The 23497-nt window shown below is 41.5% G+C and overlaps 1 long non-coding RNA gene and 1 pseudogene across 2 annotated transcripts in view; one reads left to right on the top strand and one right to left on the bottom strand.

Annotated features, from left to right (window-relative positions):
* SRP54-AS1 (SRP54 antisense RNA 1) overlaps nucleotides 1–23497 on the top strand; it is a 66087-nt gene that overhangs the window by 33118 nt on the left and 9472 nt on the right. The gene's annotated exons all lie outside the window — the stretch shown is intronic.
* On the bottom strand, nucleotides 8953–9527 carry IGBP1P1 (IGBP1 pseudogene 1; annotated as a pseudogene). The gene has a single exon (NR_002937.2). The product of NR_002937.2 is annotated as an IGBP1 pseudogene 1 (transcript).

Here is a 23497-nt window from a genome sequence, read left to right as displayed (position 1 = left end):
CAAATCCATTAAGTCAAAAGATAATAGCAAGAAATCTGCTGCATGGAATCATACGCTAACAAAATAAAAAATAGTTAAATACTAAGTACATGGCCAAAAAAGAATGCCAGGAGGCAAACATTAAAACAATAGCTTGAATGGGAACCTGCCAAGGGTGAAACACACATATAAGATACACAAGGATAACTGCATTGAAGACAAGGATTAGGGTAGGGCATAAAATAAAGTTCTAAACATTGTAAATAAGAATCTAGCTGGGGAGCTGGGTGCTGTGGCTCATGCTTGTAATCCCAGCACTTTGGGAGGCCAAAGTGGGTGGATCACCTAAGGTTGGGAGTTCTAGACCAGCCTGACTGACACGAAGAAACCCCGTCTCTAATAAAAATACAAAATTAGCCAGGTGTGATGGCACATGGATGTAATCCCAGCTACTCAGGAAGCGGAGGCAGGGGAATCACTTGAACCCAGAAGGCAGAGGTTGCAGTGAGCCGAGATCGTGCCATTGCACGCCAGCCTGGGCAACAAGAGCGAAAGTCCATCTCAAAAAAAAGAATCTTGCTGCGGAAAAGAAGACAAACATAAGGGTTTCACTGGCGACATGCTAGTATAGTAAAAGATACGTACTTTATTTTTAATTTTTTTTTGAGACAGGGTCTAGCTTTGTCTCCTAGGATGGAGTGCAGTGGTGTGATCTCAACTCATTGCAGCCTCAACCTCCCAGGCCCAAGCAGTCTTTCCACCTCAGTCCCCCAAGTACTTGGGACTACAGCTGTGCACCACCATGCCTGGCTAATTTTTTGTAGGGACAGGGTTTCACCATATTGCCCAGGCTGGTCTCAAACTCCTGAGCTCCAGCAATCCACCTGCCTTTGCCTCCCAAAATGCTGAGATTACAAGTATGAGGCACCACTCCTGGCTTAATTTTTTTTTTTTTTTTTTTAAGACATGGTCTCACTCTGTCACCCAGGCTGGAGTGCAGTGGCATGATCTCAGCTCACTGTGGCCTCAACCTTTCAGGCTCAGGTGACCCTCCCACCTCAGCCTCCCAAGTAGTTGGGACTATAGGCACCCACCACCACACCCAGCTAATTTTTGTATTTTTTGGTAGAGACGGTTTCACCATGTTTTCCAGGCTCATCTCAAGCTCCTGGGTTCAAATGATCCACCTGCCTCAGCTTCCTAAAGTGCTGGGATTACAGGCCTAAGCCACCATGCCTGCCCAGATACCTACTTTAAAAGTAACTTTTTCCTTAGATACAGTGTTGTTTAGGCAGGCCTTGGAACCTGGGGTATTGCTTAATGCTTTAAGCAACTCAACCACTTTAGGCTGCCGTTTTATCCACTTGTAAAATAAGTTAATTCATCTTTTCTGACCATGAATTTCACAAGAGTATTATGTACATCGAGAATGATAAACAGTCCTTCAGACACACATATGGAAATGCACATAAATAGAATACAAATTGGAACTGATCTGTTTATCAGAAGAAATGTCCCAACCACATAGATAGATAAAGTAATCGTATTTGTATCAAGGATCCTCATTTCGAAGAGCATTCAACTTCAAGTTGCTCTTTGCCAACAACAATGATCATCCAGCTGTTAAGTTCTCTAACACTAATTGGTATTCTCAAATTTCTACTTTCTTTGAGGGAGATGAGGAAAAAATGCCCAATATAACCTTTTAGGAATAAATTAAATATAGATTATGGATTAGTGAAAATGTAATTACGTAGACTGAGGAGAAAAGAAAGTATGTGGCCAGGTGCGGTGGCTCATGCATGTAATCCCAGCACTTTGGAAGACCGAGGCAGGCAGATCACCTGAGGGCAGGAGTTCGAGACCAGCCTGGCCAACATGGTAAAACCCAGTCTCTACTAAAAATACAAAAAATTAGCTGGGCATAGTGGCACATACCTGCAGTCCCAGCTACTTGGGAGCCTGAGGCAGGAGAATTGCTTGAAACCAGGGGGCGGATGTTACAGTGAGGCAAGATTGCACCATTGCACTCCAGCCTGGGCGACAAGAGTGAAACTCCGTCTCAAAAAAAAAAAAAGTGTGTAAAATCTCAACTGTACCTAATGACAGAAAAAGGTCATAAGCTATGAAATCATCTCAAGCAGGCTCTGTTAAAATGCTTCCATACTGACTGGGCGCAGTGGCTCACGCCTGTAATCCCAGCACTTTGGGAGGCCAAGGCGGGCAGATCACCTGAGGTCAAGAGTTCAAGACCAACCTGGCCAACATGGCAAAACTCCATCTCTACTAAAAATACAAAAATTAGCTGGGTGTGGTTGTTGGCATCTGTAATCCTAGCTACTCGGTAGGCTGAAACAGGAAAATCATTTGAACCTGGGAGGTGGAATTTGCAGTGAGCCCAGATGGTGCCACTGTATACTCTAGCCTGGGCAACAGAGCAAGACTTCATCTAAAAAAAAAAACAAAAAAAAAACAGCTTCCATACTGACCTAAATCACAGACTCCTATACCAAGAGTCATCAAGGAAGATTTTCAGAGAATAAAAAACACATAAAATTTGCTGACACATATTTTATACGAGATGCATTAGCTGTTGACCCTAACAACCCAATGATGCAGGAGCTATTAACCCTATTTAACAGATGAGTAAACTGAGTTTTAGTGAAGGTAAGAACCTTTCCAAAAGTTACACAGTTAGTAAATGGCAGAGCCAGGATTCAACCCTATTCCTATCTGAACTCCAAAGACCATGCCCTTTTGTTATGCTGCATCTGTATTTTAAATTTCATAACCTACTATTAACCACAGAAATCAATAGATTCTAATAGAAAATGTGTTTTGCCTTATTTTGGTTTTGCATTCCCTCATAATGTGAGAGTTGCTTGAGTAATTGTCAAATGTATGAGATGATTTATAAATCTGCTGGGTGCTTAAGCCAAGAGGAAGAAATAAAGGTTCAAAATTTGTGACTTTTGTGAATAAAAGTACAACGTAGCTTTAATACTGTAAATGGTATCATCCAATACTATGAACCTAATAACCTAAATGGGAATTATTGTTGTAATTTTTTTTACATTGAAAGTTACCTATATAGAAAGTGGGTTCATTTTCTTCTTTTTTTTTATTTACTGAATTGTTCATACATTAATAAAATAATACCTGAACTTTTCAAAAGCAACTGAAGAAATAGAAAATATGACAAGTTTTTGGCTTGAAAACAGGCAGGAAAGGACAACTCATAGAGACTATACGTGGTTTGCTTATAACGACTCAGTTTTTGGACTCAATCTTTTGTTTAATTTCCTTGCCAAACAAACATTATTTTCCTTGTCAAACAAGCATTAATATTTAAGTCAAACTGCAAGGTGCAAAAATAAGAGCCATGCTTTCTGTATGAATTCAGAAAAGCACAGACTTTTCAAGTTTGAAAATGTCTCAGAATAAACTTGTCCAACTCCATTTTCTTACAGAAAAAAAAAATTGTATTTGAAGCTTCTTTGCAAAGAAATGAGTGAATGCAACTTCCTTAAAACCTACCTGCATTCTGACAACATGGGACCCACAATTTATGGGATAAAATGAAGCTTGAAAATTACTTTAGGTTGATGTTGAGAAGTTGGAACCCTCCTACATTGCTGGTAGGATTTTAAAATGGTGCAAATGCTTTGGAAAACAGTTTGATAGTTACTCAAAATGCTAAAGATGGAGATACTATATGACCTAGCAGTCTCACTCCTAGATACATAGTCAAGAGAAAGGAAAACATGTCCAACACAAAAACTTGTACATAAACATTGACAGCACATTATGTATAAAAGCCAGAAAGTGAGGGGAGGTGGGGACAAATGTCTCTCAGCTGATGAATGGATAAATAAAATGTGGTATATCCATACGATGAAATTTTACGTAGGTTAAAAGATAGTAATAATACATGCTACAACCCAATGATCTTGAAAACATTGTGTGAAGAAGCCAGTCACAAAAGATCATATTATATGATTCAGTGTATATGAAATGTTTAGAATACACAAACCTATAGAGACAGTACGTTACTGGTTGCTTAGAGCTGGGATGGGGGTAAAAGAAGATGGGAAGTGATTACTAATAGGTACAGGGTTTCTTTCTGAGGTGATAAAAATAGTTTAAAAATAGATTTTGGTGATAGTTGCACAATTGATGATACTAAAAACCACTGAATTTACATTTTATTTATTTTGATACAGAGTCTCTCTCTGTCACCCATGCTGGAGTACAGTGGTGTGATCATGGCTTATTGCAACCTTGACCTTCCAGGCTTAGGTGATCCTCCCACCTCAGCCTCCTGAGTCACTGGGACATAGATGTGCATCCCCACACCCAGCTAATTATTGTATCTTTTGTAGAGATGTGGTTTCACCATGTTGCCTAGGTCGCTTGAACTCCTGGGCTCAAGCAGTCCACCCACCTCAGCCTTCCGGAGTGCTGGGATTACAGGTGTGAGCCACACTGTTCTGTCATTCTTGCCTTTGTTCCTCAGCACTTGTAGCTTGTTTCTCTGGCTGTTTTGTTTTGTTTTGTTTTGTTTTGTTTTGTTTTGTTTTTTTGAGACAGGGTCTCGCTCTGTCGCCCAGGCTGGAGTGTGGTCGTGTGATCATGGCTCACTGCAGCCTCGACGTTCTAGGGTTAGGTTGTCCTCCCACCTCAGCCTCCCCAGTATCTGTAATTGCAGACATGCAGCAACACACCCAGCTAATTTTTATATTTTATTTATTTATTTTTCTTAGAGATAGGTTTTTGCCATGTTGCCCAGGCTGGTCTCGAATTCCTGGGCTCAAGCAATCCTACTGCCTTTGCCTCACAAAGTGCTGGGATTGTAGGCATGAGCCACCACACCTGGCCCTGTTTTTAATATATTCTTTTTGTGACTTTCATTGTGCATTGGTGTGTTTTATTTTGTGTTTCTTTTGCCTGGAGTTTGTTGCACTTCTTGGATCTGTGGGTTTATAGTTTTGATCACATTTGGAAAATGTTTTGGCTATTATTTCTTCAAATATTTATTCTATCCCTCCATTTTTTTCTTCCTCTTTTGAGACTCCAGCTACACATATATTAGGCTGCTTAATGTTTTCCCACAGTGCAATGAGATCTGATCATTGAGATCTGATTTTTTTCAACCCAATCTTTTGTATTTCTGTGGTTCATTTTGATAATTTCTATTGCTATGCCTTCAAGTTTATTAATCCTTTCTTTCTTTCTTTTCTTTTTTTTTTTCTTTTGAGACAGTCTCACACTGTCATCGAGGCAGGAGTGCAGTGGCGCAATCTTGGCTCACTGCAGCCTCTGCCTCCTGAGTTCAAGCAATTCTGCTGCCTCAGCCTCCTGAGTAGCTGGGATTACAGGTGCAGGCCACCACACCTGGCTAATTTTTGTATTTTTAGTAGAGACAGAGTTTTGCCATGTTGGCCAGGCTGGTCTTGAACTCCTGATCTCAGGTGATCCACCCGCCTGGGCCTCCCAGAGTGCTGGGATTACAGGCATGAGCCATCGTGCCAGGCCTTAATCCTTTCTTTAGCAGTATTTAATCTGCTGTTAATCCCCTCTAGTATATTGTCCATCTTAGACATTGTTTCTTTCTTCTTCTCTAGCTGTTTTGAGTCTTAAAAATATCTTACATTCCTCTTCTTATCATGCTCAAACTTTCCATTACCTTTTTGAAGATATGGAGTATAGTTAGAATAGCTGTTTTAATGTTCTTAACTAACAAATCCTATAGTCTTTGTCACTTCTGGGTCTGTTTCTATTGATTGTTTTTTCTCCTTGTTATAGGTTGTATTTTCTTATTTCTTCAAAAGCCTTCTAATTTTTGGATTCCATTGTGCTGGAGTTTTCTTATTTAAATGTTTTGGGTTTTGTTCTGGGATGCAGTTGTATTACTTGGAAATAGTTTGAATGGTCATTTCAAGGCTTACTTTGAATCCTTTTTTTTTTTTCCCCTGAAATGGAGTCTCACTCTGTCGCCCAGGCTGGAATGCAGTGGTGCTCTCTGCTCACCACAACCTCCACTTCCTGGGTTCAAACAATTCTCCTGCCTCAGCCTCCCAAGTAGCTGGGATTACAGGTACCCACCACCACACTTGGCTAATTTTTGTATTTTTAGTAGAGATGAGGTTTCACAATGTTGGCCAGGCTGATCCTGAACTCCTGACCTCAGGCAATCCACCTGCCTTGGCCTCCCAAAGTGCTGGGATTACAGGTGTAAACCATTGCACCCAGCCTTTTTTTTTTTTTTTTTTGAGATGGAGTCTTACTCTGTCGCTTATGCTGGAGTGCAGTGGCGCAATCTTGGCTCATTGCAACCTCCGCCCCCTGGGTTCAAGCAATTTCTCCTGCCTCAATCTCCCGAGTATCTGGGATTACAGGTGCCTGCCACCGTGCCAGCTAATTTTTGTACTTTTAGCAGAGACAGGGTTTCATCATCTTGGCCAGGCTGGTCTTGAACTCCTGACCTCATGATCCACCTGCCTTGGCCTCCCAAAGTGCTGGGATTACAGGCATGAACCACCGCTTCCGGCTGCCTTTTTTTTTTTTTTTCTTTGAGATGGAGTCTCTCTCTGTCACCCAGGCTGGAGTGCAATGGCACTATCTAGGCTTACTGCAACTTCCGCCTCCCAGGTTCAAGCAATTCTCCTGCCTCAGCCTACCGAGTAGCTGGGATTACAGGCATGTGCCACCATGCCTGGCTAATTTTTGTATTTTTGGTAGAGACGGGGTTTTGCCATGTTGGCCAGGCTGGTCTCGACCTCCTGACCTCAGGTGATCTGCCCACCTCGGCCTCCCAAAGTTCTGGGATTACAGGTGTGAGCCACCACGCCTGGCCTTGAATCTTTGTAGGAAGGTCCATTACAGCCTTTAATATGGGGCTTATTTGGCTCAGCTACTGAAGCAATACCTTCTCAAGACTCTACTCAATGCCTTGCATCTTAGGAGGTTTTTCCACTCGATCTGGTTGGACCACAGTTTCTGGTCCTGTTTAAATCCAAGTTTTGTTCTACTTGTTCTTCTCCAGTGCTTCTTTCTCAAATCTTGGTCGTTTACTTCACGTACGTGTACTGATGATCAGAACCAGCTGAAGACTCAAGGAGAACACTTCTGAGCTCTTATATTATGTAGTTCTCTCCTCTGATTTTTACCATGTAAATTCTGATGCCTTCACCTCCCAGATCTTCATACTGTTTGCTCAACTCAAAGAGGTGGTCAACATCTGTTTGGGTTGCTCCTCCCTGTGCTGCAGCCTGGAAATTCTACAGCAATCATAGGACTCACCTTTTTTTGTTTGCTTCTCTGAGAAATCACTGTCCTGCACTGCCTCCTGTCTGATATCTGAAAACAATTAACTAGTATATTTTTGTTCAGTTTTTTAAGTATTTTAGGTGGGAGGTTAATTCTGGTCCCTGTTACATCATCCTGGGTGGTAGCAGAAGTCACAGCATAAAGTTTTTATTTCCTAATGTTTTCTTAGTTATATGGATAATTCAAATGTTGAATAAGAACCTATTTTGCATTTTAATTTTTTCAATCATTTTATAAGTTGGAGGAATCTTTAAAAGTAGAAAAGCAAAAAAGGTGTAAAATGAACAACTGACAAATAAGAAAATCATGATACTTTACCAAGATGTTGTACTAGCTAATTATTAAGCAACTTAGGTAATATCTCAAAGGCTTTTAGAAAATGTGTGTAAAAAATTATTTTAATTCCTTATAATGTTTCTTTTTTCTTTCTTTCTTTTTTTTTTTTTGTTTTTTTGTTTGTTTGTTTGTTTGAGACAGAGTCTCACTCTGTCACCCAGGCTGGAGTGCAGTGGCGTGATCTCTGCTCACTGCAACCTCCTCCTCTCGGGTTCAAGTGATCCTTGTGCCTCAGCCTCCTGAGTAGCAGGAATTACGGGCACCTACCACCACATCAGGCTAATTTTTGTATTTTTAGTAGAGAAAGCGTTTCACCATGTTGGCCAGGCTGATCTCGAACTCCTGACCTCAGGTGATCCGCCCGCCTCGGCTCCCAAAGTGCTGGGATTACAGGCATGAGCCACCGCACCTGGCCTAAATGCTTATTATTTATTTTTATTTTTATTTTTATTTTTTGAGACGGAGGCTCGCTCTGTTGCCCAGGCTGGAGTGCAGTGGTGCAATCTCGGCTCACTGCAACCTCCACCTCCTGAGTTCAAGCGATTCTCCTGCCTCAGCCTCCCAAGTAGCTGGGATTACAGGCACTCACCACCACGCCCAGCTCTTTTTTATTTTTATATTTTTTTAAGTAGAGATGGGGTTTTACCATTTGGCCAGGCTGGTCTTGAACTCCTGACCTCGAGTGATCCACCTGCCTCGGCCTTCCAAAGTGGTGGGGTTACAGGTGGGAGACACCACACACCCAAACACTTACTATATTTCTACTTAACGGCTTCAAGTCTTAAACAGATTCCAGGACTAGCAACATTTTGAAAACTCACTGTTCCACTGCAGTTTTGCTCTTAAGTAAAATTTGAAAAATTTGCTTTTAAATATGGGAGATACTGAGCATAATATTTAATTTTTTTTTCTGAGACAGAGTCTCACTCTGTCACCCAGGCTGGAGTGCAGTGGCATGATCCCAGCTCACTGCAACCTCTGCCTGCCAGGTCCAAGTGATTCTCCTGCCTTGGCCCCCCAAATAGTTGGGATTACAGGCATGCACCACCATGCCTGGCTAATTTTGTATTTTTAGTAGAGATGGGGTTTCACCATGTTAGCCAGGCTGGTCTCGAACTCCCGACCTCAGGCTATCTGCCTGCCTCAGCCTCCCAAAGTACTGGGATTACAGGCATGAGCAACCCCGCCCAGCCAAAATTTAATTTTCAAGTGGCCAGTAGTTACTCCAATGAAGCCAAAAATAATTAGTATCATTTTCCAGCCCAAGTTGCAGAATGACTGAACATAGAAGGCATCTCAGAAAAAAAAATTTTTTTTAATCACTGGACACTTTATTGAAAGCAAAGCAAGATTTAGCATCTTTGCCTTCGTTGTACACAGCTGAAGCGGAAGCCCAGGGAGATGAGGACTGCATGGTTTTCCTTGGCGTGGGAGGTGTGCACCCTTCAGTCCTCTCATTTGTGGGAAGATCAGCCCATGCTCTGTTGGCTGCCATAGTCCCTAGGATGGATGCCCTTCCAGTCATCCCACTCCCGAACTCTGTAGAGTGTTTGTTCATCATCCTCTTCCTCCTTTTCTTCTTGACCTTCCTGTTGCTGAGCTGCTTTTCTGAATTCCTCTGGTGTTGCCTTGGCTATTCCCTGATCTGGTAATGCTCCATATTTCCAATGTTGCTTATACCAGTCACTCACCGTCATAGTTGCCAGACTTGGATAACCAGCTCCAAATACTTTGACTTGGGCCATGTTCCGAGTGAGAATGAAGGGTTTCACTGGAGGCCTCTCCTGGCGAGATGAATTAGAAGTTGATGCCTCTCTTGAAGAGTCTCTTTCTCTCAGGATCTTTATTTCCTGGTCAATGCTCTCAATCTCTTCTAAGCTGATATCAGTTCACCTCTGAAGGTGAAGAAGATAATATTCACGAACACGCTCATCATCTGCTTGACCAGTTTCCACAGCAGATTTGATTGCAGACAACCTGTGCTCCAACTCCTTCTGCTTGTGTCTCTCTCTTTTAGCCTGTCTTTGAGATGCCATAGCAATGAGGCTAGGATAAGCCATGGAGAAATTAGCAGTGTGATTTTTCAGCTGAGTTCTTGGTTTTCGGCAGCTCAAGCTCTGCCACCTGATAGCAATGGCACAGTTAATTAGTTTATAGTGCTCTTGAGCCCACTGCAAATGATCTAGACGCTTGCTGGGCTTGACTTGTTTCATGGTGAAGGCTCCTTGAAACACTGGCACCAACAGGTACTTCAGGTCGGTGGAAGCAATCACTTCCAAATCTTCATTTTAGCTGAACAAGTCAAGCTGCGATAACATTTCGGCAGCCTTCTCAAGGAGGTCCAGGCCCTTGAACACCTTCTTCTGGACTATCCGGGAACCGGCAGGTTCAGTCACTACTTCTACATCATCCAGAAGCTGTTTGCTGGTTTCAAACAGCTCGGGGAGCTGTGGCAGCAGTAATTTGTCTTCAGCAGCCATCTTGGAGAGGGACAAACAAGAAATTATTTTTAAAGGAAAACTTTCAAAGTGAAAAGAGAAATATATCTTCTCCTGGGAGTACTAAAAGAAAACCTCACCTCAGATGAGTTATCTCACAATTTCCGAACAAAAATAATCACCTTTGGGCCAAGAAGAGGTGTGGAAAGTTTCAAACACAGTTTTTATAAAGGGGGTACAACTGAAAAGGGGTTTTAACACAACCACCTCTCTCGCAGGCTTATTAGATCCTGATCACCTAAGAGTTTCTTGTCAGCACTCCTGTCAAATGGATGAAATGCGCCCGGAAGGCTACCTCTGACAAAAGGGAAGGCACAGCAGAAATGTTACTGTGTAAGGGTGCCAGTGGGTACAGATGTGGTTATCATCTTCCACTAATCATCTAAGAACAAAGCATCTTTTGCTCCTTTGGGGGGCTAAATGGGATGGTTACTAAGTGGGAAGGATGTGCTTTCCTAATACAGCAGCATAATAATTGTTCTAAAAGATTTTAACCCTGGCTGGGCACAGTGGCTCACGCCTGTAATCCCAGCACTTTGGGAGGCTGAGGCGGGCGGATCATGAGGTCAAGAGATTGAGACCATCCTGGCCAACACGATGAAACCCCATCTCTACTAAAAATACAAAAAAATTAGCCGGGCGTGGTGGTGGGCGCCTGTAGTCCCAGCCACTCAGGAGGCTGAGGCAGGAGAATCGCTTGAACCCGGGAGGCGAAGGTTGCAGTGAGCCGAGATTGTGCTGCACTCCAGCCTGGGCAACAGAGTGAGACTCTGTCTCAAAGAAAAAAAAGGGCAGGGGGTGTCAGGCATGGTGGCTCACGTCTGTAATCCCAGCACTTTGGGAGGCCGAGGCAGGCGGATCAAGAGATCAAGACCATCCTGGCCAACATGGTGAAACCTCATCTCTACTAAAAATACAAAAATTAGCTGGGTGTGGTGGTGCGCACTTATAATCCCAGCTACTAGGGTAGCTGAGGCAGGAGAATCACTTGAACCTGGGAGGCAGAGGCTGCAGTGAGCTTAGATTGCACCACTGCACTCCAGCCTGGCGACAGAGCAAGACTTCATCTCAAAAAAAAAAAAAAAAAAGTATAAAAACCTCAACAATTATAATTTATCTGATCTTATTATGTAAAGGGGCTCTTGAGAACAGCAAGTTTATCTCAATATGGTATATTCAGAATAGTCAAATATAGTTTTTTGTTTGTTTTTGAGACACAGTCTCACTGTTGCCCAGGCTATAGTGTGGTGGTGCATTCCTCAGCCTCCTGAGTAGCTAGGGCTTCAGACACGTGCCCCCATGCCCAGCTGATTTTTCAATTTTATATAGAGATGAGGTCTCCCTGTGTTGCCAAGGCTGGTCTCAAATTTCTGGGCTCAAGGGATCCTCCTGCCTCAGCCCCCCAAAGTGCTGGGATTGCAGGCGTGAGCCACAAAACCCAGCCACCGCCCTGGTCTTTCAAAGCACTGGGATTACAGGTGAGCCTTAATTTAGAGATAGTATTTCCCTTCAGAGCAGATATCAGACTTGTTTACTTTCCTGTATAATAAAGTTAATGTCTCCCTCCAGAGCAAAGACCTTGCAGGTTTAAAAGTTGTCATTCAGAACTAAGGGGAGTTCCGTGGCGCCTCTGGCCTGGCCTCCCCTTTCTTGTCTGACTCGAGACACCAACTGAGTTCCTGTTTCTAGTAGCTAAGCTCCCACCGTCGGGGAGGAATCAGGGACTGTGCAGTCCCTGTGAATCCCATCCAGGTCAGTTCTAGATTCTAAACTGAATTTTTTTCATGATATTGTCAAAACAGTGAGGAAACGTTTTGTAAAGAAGCCCTAAAGAAAAAAAAAGTCATTGAGCCTTCCTAAACAATTTTCTCTTAATATATGTATTCTAAGACTTTTTAATGTATATACTATATTAGAAATCCAATTCTCTTGTAGATGTCTCTTTTTTTTAATAAAAACTTTTTTTTTTTCACATTTTCCTGCCTCTATCTAGTATGTGGAACTTAACTGAACTTAGAAGGGACTTCAGAACTATTTATTTATTTATTTATTGAGACAGAGTTTTGCTCTTGTTGCTCAGGCTGGAGTGCAATGGCTCAATCTCAGCTCACCGCAACCTCTGCCTCCCGGGTTCAAGCGATTCTCCTGAGTAGCTGGGATTACAGGCAAGCATCACCACGCCCGGTTAATTTTTTGTATTTTTAGTAGAGACAGGGTTTCTCCATGTTGGTCAGGCTGGTCTCGAACTCCTGACCTCAGGTGATCTGCCTGCCTCGGCCTCCCAAAGTGCTGGGATTACAGGCACAAGCCACCACACCCAGCCCTGTAGATTTCTCATTGAGGGCACAAACATTTATTTCCATCTCCTGTGTAACTATTCATAAACTTAAAGATGATTACTAAAGCAACTTTCACCTTCCTCAGGTTAAATAAGCAATGTGCCTTTAAACTTTCCACATAAATTCTGTTTTCTAATTTTTGTTGTTGTTGTTGTTGCTATTTTGTGTTTTCTAATTTTTAATCCTTTGGTTAATCATGCCTCTGGATTTTTTCCCATTTTCTTCATCTCTTGAATTTAGAGCCCAGGATCTGATACAATACCCTAGTAAAGGGTTAATTCCTATTGCATAGATTTTCGATACCTGCCACAGACTTGAGGGCAGGTTGAGGGCAGATACTGTTTTATACTTTTCTAGTATCAGTAACTTTCTAGCATATGTAGGTGCTCAGTAAATTCTTACTGATTGATTGGTGTATCCCAGAATTGTTTTTGAGTTGTAAATCACAGTACCACTTTGCTGATTCATGTTTAATGTTTGCTTCACTATAAAAATTGTTTGTAAAGTAAAAAACAGCAAGGAACTCTACAAGTGGTGAACAATGGCTATAAATCATAGAACCATCTTTGTTTTTGTGAAAAGTATTCTTACTTCAATTAGCAGTCTTTCTATTCCCGACCACCTATCCCAAAGGAATCATCATCAATAATGCCATCTCTGCATACAAAAGATATTCTTTAATTACGATGCTTAGCTGAGTTAGCATTTTTACTTTTTTTCCTTTTTCTATTCTTTTTTTTTTTTTTTTTTTTTTTTTTTTTTTTTTTTTTTTGAGACGGAGTCTCGCTCTGTCTCCCAGGCTGGAGTGCAGTGGCGCGATCTCTGCTCGCTGCAAGCTCCGCCTCCCGGGTTCACGCCATTCTCCTGCCTCAGCCTCCCGAGTAGCTGGGACTACCGGCACCCGCCACCACGCCCAGCTAATTTTTTTTTAATTTTTAGTAGAAACAGGGTTTCTCCGTGTTAGCCAGGATGGTCTCGATCTCTTGACCTCGTGATCCGCCCACCTCGGCCTCCCAAAGTGCTAGGATTACAGGCGTGAGCCACCGTGCCCGGCCTATTCTTTTTTTTTTTTTTTTTTTTTTTTTTTAGTAGCACTTGTTGTTGAAGCATTTTTACTTTTTGTATTTCCTTCTTTCTGAGTTACTGTGGTAGGCTGCATCTAAAATGACTCCTAAGCACCGTACCTTCTGGTTTTCACATCCTTGTGTAATTTCCTCCTCTTGTGCTTGGGCCGGACCTAATGACCTCTTTCAAAAGAATAGAATATGGCAAAGTGACAGAATGTCACATCTGAGATTAGGTTACAAAAGACTGTGACTTTCATCTTCCTCTCTCTCTTGCGCTCTCACTTGCTCATTCCAATGTAGGAAATTGCCATGTTGCAATTTCCAAAGGATAGGTCACAATCCAAAGGATAGGTCCATATGGCAGAAAAACGGAGGGTAGCCTCTAGTCAACAGCCAGTGAGGAACGGAGGCCCTGAGTGCAACACCCTGATAGGGACTAAGTCCTACCAACATCAACACCTAGTCAAGCCTTAAGATGACTGCAGCACCCGCTCAACACCTTTTATACAGCCTTATGAGAAACCCAGAGCCAAGAGACCCAACTAAGCTTTGCCTAGCTTCCTTACTCATAGACTCTGTAAGAAAATAATTGTTTATTGCTTTAAGGCACCAAGTTTGGGGGTAATTTTTCATACAGCAAGAGATAACTAATATAGATTCTGTTTGATAAATATTAACTTACACCTAACTCAGATTTCACTCAAAGAAATTAATATGCATGTGAGAAGATATATTCTTTACCCAGCCACGGGAGGTATTGCCTAGGAAAAACTTAGATAGTTGCCAACCGATTGTATCATAATCTCACTTCTGAGTTTAGAAATTAATATTAAAGGACTGTAGTTTCCAGTCAGACTTTTCCATTTAAAAACCATGAGCTTCTATTTTTACAAGTCATAGGTACTTAATTAGTTCTCCACTATTCTGTAAAATAATACACTCCTAGTTCTGTGATAACTCTGGTCAATTCTAGAAATAAGTATTCGTTAGTACAAATTACCAGAGCCTGTGGATTTGAATGTATCAATCTGTTTTATTAAGCAGGCCCCATTTTGTGAAACTCAGCTGGAAAACGACAGTCAACCTGACAATTCTCATAGATAGTTAATTTAAGAAATTCTTCTTCTTCTTCTTCTTTTTTTTTTTTTTTTTTTTTGATAGAGGGTCTTACTCTATTGCCCAGGCTGGAGTGCAGCGGCACAATCATGTCTCACTGCAGCCTCAGCCTCCGGAATAGCTGGGACTGCAGGTGCACACCACGATGCCCAGCTAATTTTTTTTTTTTTTTTTTTTTTTGAGACGGAGTGTCGCTCTGTCGCCCAGAGTGGAGTACAGTGGCTCCATCTCGGTTCACTGCAAGCTCCACCCGCTGGGCTCACGCCATTCTCCTGCCTCAGCCTCCCGAGTAGCTGGGAATACAGGCGCCTGCCACTACGCCCAGCTAATTTTTGTATATTTAGTAGAGACGGGGTTTCACCGTGTTAGCCAGGATGGTCTCGATCTCCTGACCTCGTGATCCACCTGCCTCGGCCTCCCAAAGTGCTGGGATTACAGATGTGAGCCACGGCGCCCGGCCGCCCAGCTAATTTTTAAATTTTTTTTGTAGAAACAGAGTTTCACGAAGTTGCCCAGGCTGGTCTCAAACTCCTGGGCTCGAGCAGTTTGCCCACCCCAGCCTCCCAAAGTGCTAGGATTACAGGTGTGAGCCACCACACTTGGCTAATTTTCTTTTTCTTTTTCTTTCTTTTTTTTTTTTTTTTTTGAGACAGTCTCACTCTGTCACCTGGCTGGAGTTTAGTGACACGATCTTAGCTCCCTGCAACCTCTGCCTCCTGAGTTCAAGTGATTCTCCTACCTCAGCCTCCTGAGTAGCTGGAATTACAGGTACACACCACCACGCCCAGCTAATTTTTGTATTTTTAGCAGAGACAGCGTTTCGCCATGTTGGCCTCTATCTCTTGACCTTGTGATCCACCCACCGCAGCCTCCCAAAGAGCTGGGATTACAGGCGTGAGCCACCATGCCCAGCCTAATTTTTTATTTTTTGTGAAGATGGGGTCTCTGTTGCCTGGGCTGGTCTCAAACTCCAGGGCTCAAGTGATCCTCCAGTCTCAGCCTCCCAAAGTGCTGAGATTACAGGCATGAGCCCCTGTGCCCACCCAAAAAATTATTCTTAAGCTGGTGAGTACATAAATGTTTCTTTATTATTTTTTAAATCTATATATATGTTTTATGAAGTTTTTGTTATGTGTAATACATTTCATAATAAAAACAAGGTTTAAAAAAAACAAGCTTTCTGACTTGTTCTGATATTTAAGATTTTGGTAAAAAGTTTTAAGTTTTAAAGAGTGCATATGGGCTGGTCCGAGTGCAGTGGTTTATGACTAATTAATCACAACCAGTTCCAGATTTCTTTGTTCTTTCTCTACTCCCACTGCTTCACTTGGCTAGCCTTTAGTAAATAAATAAATAAATAGAGTGCCTATGGTAGTTAACCAAAAAAAGAGTGTTTTCTAAGCTTCCATTAAGTCTATCATACACTATCATTAATTCCCCTAAGACTGTGTCAAGTTACCTATTTACAAAGATCGATTGCTCAGATCCTTCAAAGTTCATGAATCCTTTAGTTTTGGATGATAAAGAGTGAAAAAACAAAAGTTAAAGAGAAGCCCACAGAACCAGAGAAAAAAAGAAGTTGCCTTCTTTCTCATCCTTCATAAACACCTGCCCACACAGGTTGATGTCCTTTTTCAAATATTTAGTCAGACCCCAAGCACTACCTTTGACCCTGGTATTACAAGTCCCACTCTGCCTTTACTACTCATATCTGAACTTTTAATATCTAATTACAATATTCAGTGAACTGATATTACATGCTACCATTTTTAAGTTTGGAATTAAACTTGGAATTATGTTGACAAATCTGGTTTGTTTTAGAACTTAATACGATTTAGAACTTTTGTTTATTATGTTTTATAAATTAAATGCCATTTTTTACCTTTTAAAATTATCTTCCTATTTTATTCATTCAGCAAATATTTATATACCTATAGTAAAAGTATATAAACCTGATATATAGTAATATATCCAGAAATGTTCAGGATAGAAATGCAGTAGTGAACAGACAAGCAAGCTTGTAGTCTTTAAATAAATTACCAACTGTAATGCTGTTTGACATTATGTTTTTAAATAATGCATAACCTATTGTTATCAGGGAGTTATACATACCTATGTATTACCATATATCTTCCAATATAGGCTTGTAATAAAGTCAGTATACTCACGTTCTCTTTTCTAAGCATGTCTTAACAGGTTAAACCACACAACCGTGATATTTGTATATTATATAATTAACATCTTAAATAACAGCTTTGAAATTTCTTTTTTTTTTTTTTTTTTTTTTTTTTTTTTTTTGAGACGGAGTCTCGCTGTCACCCAGGCTGGAGTGCAGTGGCGCGATCTGGGCTCACTGCAAGCTCCACCTCCCGGGTTCACGCCATTCTCCTGCCTCAGCCTCCCCAGTAGCTGGGACTACAGGCGCCCGCCACCACGCCCAGCTAATTTTTTGTATTTTTAGTAGAGGTGGGGTTTCACCGTGTTAGCCAGGATGGTCTCGATCTCCTGACCTCGTGATCCGCCCGCCTCGGCCTCCCAAAGTGCTGGGATTACAGGCGTGAGCCACCGCGCCCGGCCTGAAATTTCTTAGTGATAGATTGCACTGCACTAAAATTTGAGACAGGGCCAGGCATGGTAGCTCACCCCTATAATCCCAGCACTTTGGGAGGCCAAGGTGGGCGGATCACCTGAGGTCAGGAGTTTGAGACGAGCCTGGCCAACATGACAAAACCCTATCTCTACTAAAAATACAAAAATTAGCCTGGCATGGTGGCACACACCTGTAATCCCTGCTACTCAGGAGGCTGAGGCAGGAGAATCACTTGAACCAAGGGCGGAGATTGCAGTGAGCCGAGATTGCACCACTGCATTCCAGCCTGGACGACAGAGCAAGACTCTGTCTCAAAAAATAAATAAATAAAAATTGAGGCAGATACACTTCGTATCATACACATTAAAACAGGAAAGGATTAACCCTCATCACACATATACTCAAATCAAAGTTAATACCACTTGGTTTTCTTTTTATTTGTTTTAGTAAAAATTAGACAGTTTACAATTAAAGAAACTATCTTTGAGAACCTGATCTTTCAGTCTATGGATATTTAATGAAAATAATGAAATTAGTTATCACCTTTGAAGAGGGGAGGATTCAGGGAAGAAAAACCAGTACCATCCATCTGTAATAGATTGCTTAATTGAAGATATTTAGCAAAAGCACACTGAAGACTAATAGAATTGCCCAAAGGTTTTTCTCCTCTTTGATCTACATATTGTGTCTCACATGACACAAGTGTGACACACCACCTCAAAAACAAACTTGCCCTTTCCATTCAAATACCAAACTGGCCAAGTAGGGTGGATAGAGTGCTGTGTCTCCTTCCTGGTACAGTGTGCCAGCAAGGAAAGTCTCTGTTATATAACTTCCTGCATCTTCAAAACAAAACAAGACTTCACGTAAGAGATATTACCACCCCTAGAAAAGTTCCACCCATCAGAATAGGAAATCCTCATCTGTTGCTGACAGCAGTGTCACAAAGGCCTTAAAAATGTTTAAATACCTTGACTAAACAGTTCAGTTTCTAAAAACTTAAGAAAATAATCGGATATTTGCAAAATGATTTCTGTATGATGGTTTACTACAGTGTTGTTTTATAATGGTAGTAAATTGGAAACCACCTAAACGTCCAGTAGCTGGAGATTGATTAGGTATAGGACATCCATATCCACTCCAGCCTGGGTGACAGAGCGAGACCTTGTCTTAACAAAAAAAAAAAAAAAAAAAAAAAAAAAAGTAGACAGCTGCAACTTTGGATGGCCAAAGGGCTGGCAGTGATAGGAACAGCTACTTCAATAAAGAGAACAGAAAACTGAAAGCTGTAAATTACACATTTTCTATTCTGTGCTTTGCTTTCCGGGAAGTCACATGTTCATTAGACTCCTTTTTATTTAAAAACTAGGTAATACTTCTTTCCCACCTTATAATTACCTCCCAAAATACAGTCAACACAATGCTGTGCTTTGGCTACTTTGGCTAAGAATAATCCCAAATCAGCATTTTAAACCAACAGTATCAGACCAGATCAAGAGAGGTAAACTGATGTGTTCCAGCTCTCTGTTATGACCAAGCAGGAAGTTTCCGAGCAAACCTCCACTTCTCAGGAAGTTTACGTCAAACTTAGTATTTACATCCTGTTGAATATAGTCTTAATTTTTTTCTCAATTCTAGATACTATTTGAATTAAAATGTTGGAGTAATCTGTCCTCAAATTGTTTTTTTTTAACTCTCAATAGACTATGTATATCTGTTCTAAGTGACACATGGAATACCTCCATGACTAATAGTGACAAAAGTTAAAGATTGTTTTTAGAATTAAGTACCTATAATTATAACTATTTATATCCCTATACATTATCTCTTATTCATTTGATCTCTCAAGTAGGTCCTTGTTAGCTATGTTCTGATTAACTCATTATGCAGTTAGTATACTATATGCAAACAAATAAAACCCTCAGTGGAGCATCCTGATGTTTCTCTCCAGGACTGACCGTGTAATATTGACGTGGGAAAGGTGACACGATGCTGAGTCTGATACTTCTAGCAGCTGGCTGTATGACTTTGGCTAAGGCCCTTAACCTGCAGTTTTCTCACCTGAAAATAAGAGGGGTGGGTTAAATGATCTTTAGTATATCTTCTGTGATCGTACTATGCAGGAGTGCCAATCTGTATCTTACATACAGTAAAGTCATACTTCATTATGTTTGTTTGTTTGTCTTTTGAGACAGGGTCTCACTCTGTCACCAGGCTGGAGTGCAGTGGTACAATCATGGCTCACTGCAGCCTCAACCTCCCAGGCTCAAGCGATCCTCCCACCTCAGCCTACCAAGTAGTGGGGACCACAGGTGCATGCCAGCTAATTTTTTTTTTTTAAGAGATGATGTCTCCTTGTTGCCCAGGCTGATCTCAAACTCCTGGACTCAAGCAATCCTCCTATCTCTGCCTACCAAAGTGCTAGAATTATAGGCTTAAGCCACTGCTCCTGGCGCTGATCTCAAACTCCTGGACTCAAGCAATCCTCCTATCTCTGCCTACCAAAGTGCTAGAATTATAGGCTTAAGCCACTGCTCCTGGCGTCATACTTCTTAAATTAAAAAAAAAGGCATATTCTAAGTGTAAGCCGTAGGACAAAAACTGTGCATCTTTGTAGTAGGTGTGCTAGTTAGGATTATGGTTGGAAGTAATAGAAATCTGAATGGATCTTGCTTAGATAATGAGGTGAATGTATTTTAAACACATAAAGGGTCTCACAGAACCCAAGGACACAAATTGAACTGGACATAAGGAGCCAGGAAGGTGAATGTCAAAGAGACTCTGTCTCATGTGTCCTCCTCCCTTTGTACATCAGCATCATTCCACCTTCTCTCTGTCCATCAGGTTCTTCTGCTTCCCTGAACCACAAGGTGGAAAATAGCTGCTGGCAGCTCTTCAGTTTACAAATTACAGTGTGGACACAGGAAAAGAAATGGCTGTTTCTCAGTCCAAATGCCATGTCTCAGGAAAAGGCTCCAACCGGCCCACATTGGGGCAGATGTCCATCCCAGGACTTATCAACTGTCATCTATATTTGGGACAACCTCTATTGAAAATGATGATTTTCACTTCAATTCTGAGGAGTAGGCAGGAAAGGGAAACTTTTAGAAGGAGGATATAAGTAGAAAATCTAGGCTGGGGCCAGGCACGGTGGCTCATGCCTGTAATCCCAGCACTTTGGGAGGCCGAGGTGGGCGGATCACGAGGTCAGGAGTTCGAGACCAGCCTGACCAACATGGTGAAACCCTGTCTCTACTAAAAATAGAAAAATTAGCTGGGCGTGGTGGCATGTGCCTGTAATCCCAGCTACTCGGGAGGCTGAGGCAAGAGAATCACTTGAACCCATGAGACGGAGGTTGCAGTGGCCGAGATGGCGCCACTGCACTCCAGCTGGGGCAACAGAAGACAGAGTGAGGCTCCGTTTCCAAAAAAAAAAAAAAAAAGAAAGAAAATCTAGGCTGGGCATGGTGGCTCACGTCTGTAATCCCAGCACTTTGGGAGGCCAAGGCAGGTGGATCACAAAGTCAGGAGATCAAGACGATCCTGGCTAACACAGTGAAACCCCATCTCTACTAAAAATACAAAAAATTAGCTGGGCGTGGTGGCATGTGCCTTTAGTCCCAGCTACTTGGGAGGCTGAGGCAGGAGAATCACTTGAACCTGGGAGGTGGAGGTTGCAGTGAGCCAAGATTGTGCCACTGCACTCCAGCCTGGGCAACAGAGCCAGACTTCATCTCAAAAAAAAAAAAAAAAGAAAAAAGAAAAGAAAATCTAATTGGGGTTCACACACTAAAATATCAGTGTTAATAGTATTTTTACATTTGGAAATAATTATAGATTCACAGGAGGTTGAAAAATTAGTGCAGAGAGGTTCTCTGTACCCTTCACCCAGTTTCTCCTAATGGTCAGGTCTTACATAATTATAGTGCAATATCAGTTGTAAATTTTTTATTGAGACAGTTGATTTTCATATTCTTTCCCGTTTATTATAGCACATGTGCCTCACTCTTCATGGTAAATGTTTTACTGAAGAATAACATACAGAAAAGTGGACAAGTCTTAACTGCACAGCTCAATGAATTTCCATGAAGTAAATATACCCATATGATAATCCAGCTCAAGAAACAGAAAATCACTACCACCCCAGAAGACTGCCTTATACTACCATCTTTTAAGAGTGAATCACACATGGGGTACTCCTTGTATCTGGCCTCTTTCTTTTTTTCTTTCTTTTTAATTATTATTTTTGTTTGAGATGGAGTCTCATTCTGTCACCCAGGCTAGAGTGCAGTGTCATGATCTCGGCTCACTGTAACCTCTGCCTCCCGGGTTCAAGCAATTCTCCTGCCTCAGCCTCCTGAGTAGCTGGGACTACAGGCACCCGCCACCACGCCCAGCTGATTTTTGTATTTTTGGTAGAGACAGGGTTTCGCCATGTTGGCCAGGCTGGTCTCGAACTTCTGTCCTCAGGTGATCCACCCACCTCGGCCTCCCAAAGTGCTGGGATTACAGGCGTGAGCCACTGCACCCGGCCTGTTTCCAGCCTTTGTTCAACATTATGTTTGTGAAGTTAATCTGTGTTGTTTTATGTAATTATAGTTCACTCATTCTTTCATGGGCTTAAATCTTTTTACAATAAAATTTTAAGAGAATAAAATTGTAAAAAAAAAAAGCTCATGACATGCAATAAACTGTATAATTTGATGCGTTTTGACATGTATACACCCATATCAGTACCACAGTCAAGATCATGAATACATCTATTTCCTCAAAATAGTCCATGAATTTTTTTTTTTGAGACAGAATCTCGCTCTGTCGCCCAGGCTGTAGTGCAGCGCGCGATCTCGGTTCACTGCAACCTCAGTCTCCCGGGTTCAAGCAATTCTCCTGCCTCAGCCTCCCGAGTAGCTGGGACTACAGACGCGTGCAACCACGCCCCTGTAGTCCCAGCTAATTTTTTGTATTTTTAGTAGAGATAGGGTTTCACTGTGTTAGCCAGGATAGTCTTGATCTCCAGACCTCGTGATCCGCCCACCTCGGCTTCCCAAAGTGATGCGTCCATGAATTTTTTAAAACTAAAAATGGGACCTGGATAAAGTGAACATCTTAGGGCCGTAATGACCTCCAGACCTTTTGCAGAAGGTTGGAATAGGTAATATTTATTTTTCCCTGTTGTTAAGAAGACTTTAATGAGAAAAGTTTCTATTATATATCTTCTGTATTTTAAATTAGCCAACATTTGTACGCACATACAACAAACTGGACTAAATTTTGGGATTTACTCCAATAAGTACAATAATAGTGTTTAGAGAGCTATAGATAAGAGAATATTTGCTTTATCAATCTTTTTTTACATGGCATTTTTAAAATATGCAGAATACTTTTGTTATAATGTACAGTTCTTCCATCTCCTTACTTATGTCATCACAGTGATTCATAGTTGAGGAATTATAAGAATAGAGGGGTCAAAAGACTGTAAAGTCAGAACAGCAAGATTTTTGACAAGGAAGGAAGACATATTCTGGCAAACTTAACATTAATGCCAGGAACAAGTCTAGATTGGATTTTCATAGGTGATTTGAGAGTACTTAAGGAAAAGACATGATCATTTAGAGCCAGCCTAAGTTTACCAAAAACAGGTTAAGCCACACTAACTTTATTTTTCAGATAAGATTAGCATATTCGTAGTCTGGAAAATGCTATACAAAGAATGTAAAGCATGAAACTACTTGTGGACCAAATGAAAAACTGTGGAGCAGATTATGATGCAGTTAGACCTTGCTTGAATGACTTTGACCCACAAAAGCAGGTAAATGTTCCCCTGGACTGAGGCTTTTGGTTACATTGCAAGGTTCCATCACGGGCTCTATTACATTTAACATTTTTAGTAATTATTTGGATGGAAAATCACATAAAATTAAATTTGTAGATTACATGTAGTTGTTAAGGATTACTAATGTATTCATTGACACTAAAGAATTATTAGGTAAGCCTAATTGTAAAATTCAGTATGTAAGTTAGAAAATTAATAGTACAGGTCAGGCACAGTAGCTCACACCTGTAGTCCCAGCACTTTGGGAGGCCAAAGTGGGAGGATCCTTGAGCACAGGAGTTGGAGGCTGCAGTGAGCTATGATCACACCACTGCAATCCAGTCTGGATGGCAGAGCAAAACCGTCTCTAAAAAAGCAAACAAACAATTGGTACAGTATATTTCAGATAAATATGTCCTTCAGCAGTATGT

This window comes from Homo sapiens, chromosome 14, assembly GCF_000001405.40.
Source record: "Homo sapiens chromosome 14, GRCh38.p14 Primary Assembly".
Taxonomy (NCBI): domain Eukaryota; kingdom Metazoa; phylum Chordata; class Mammalia; order Primates; family Hominidae; genus Homo; species Homo sapiens.
This window is presented reverse-complemented; position numbering and strand designations above follow the sequence as displayed.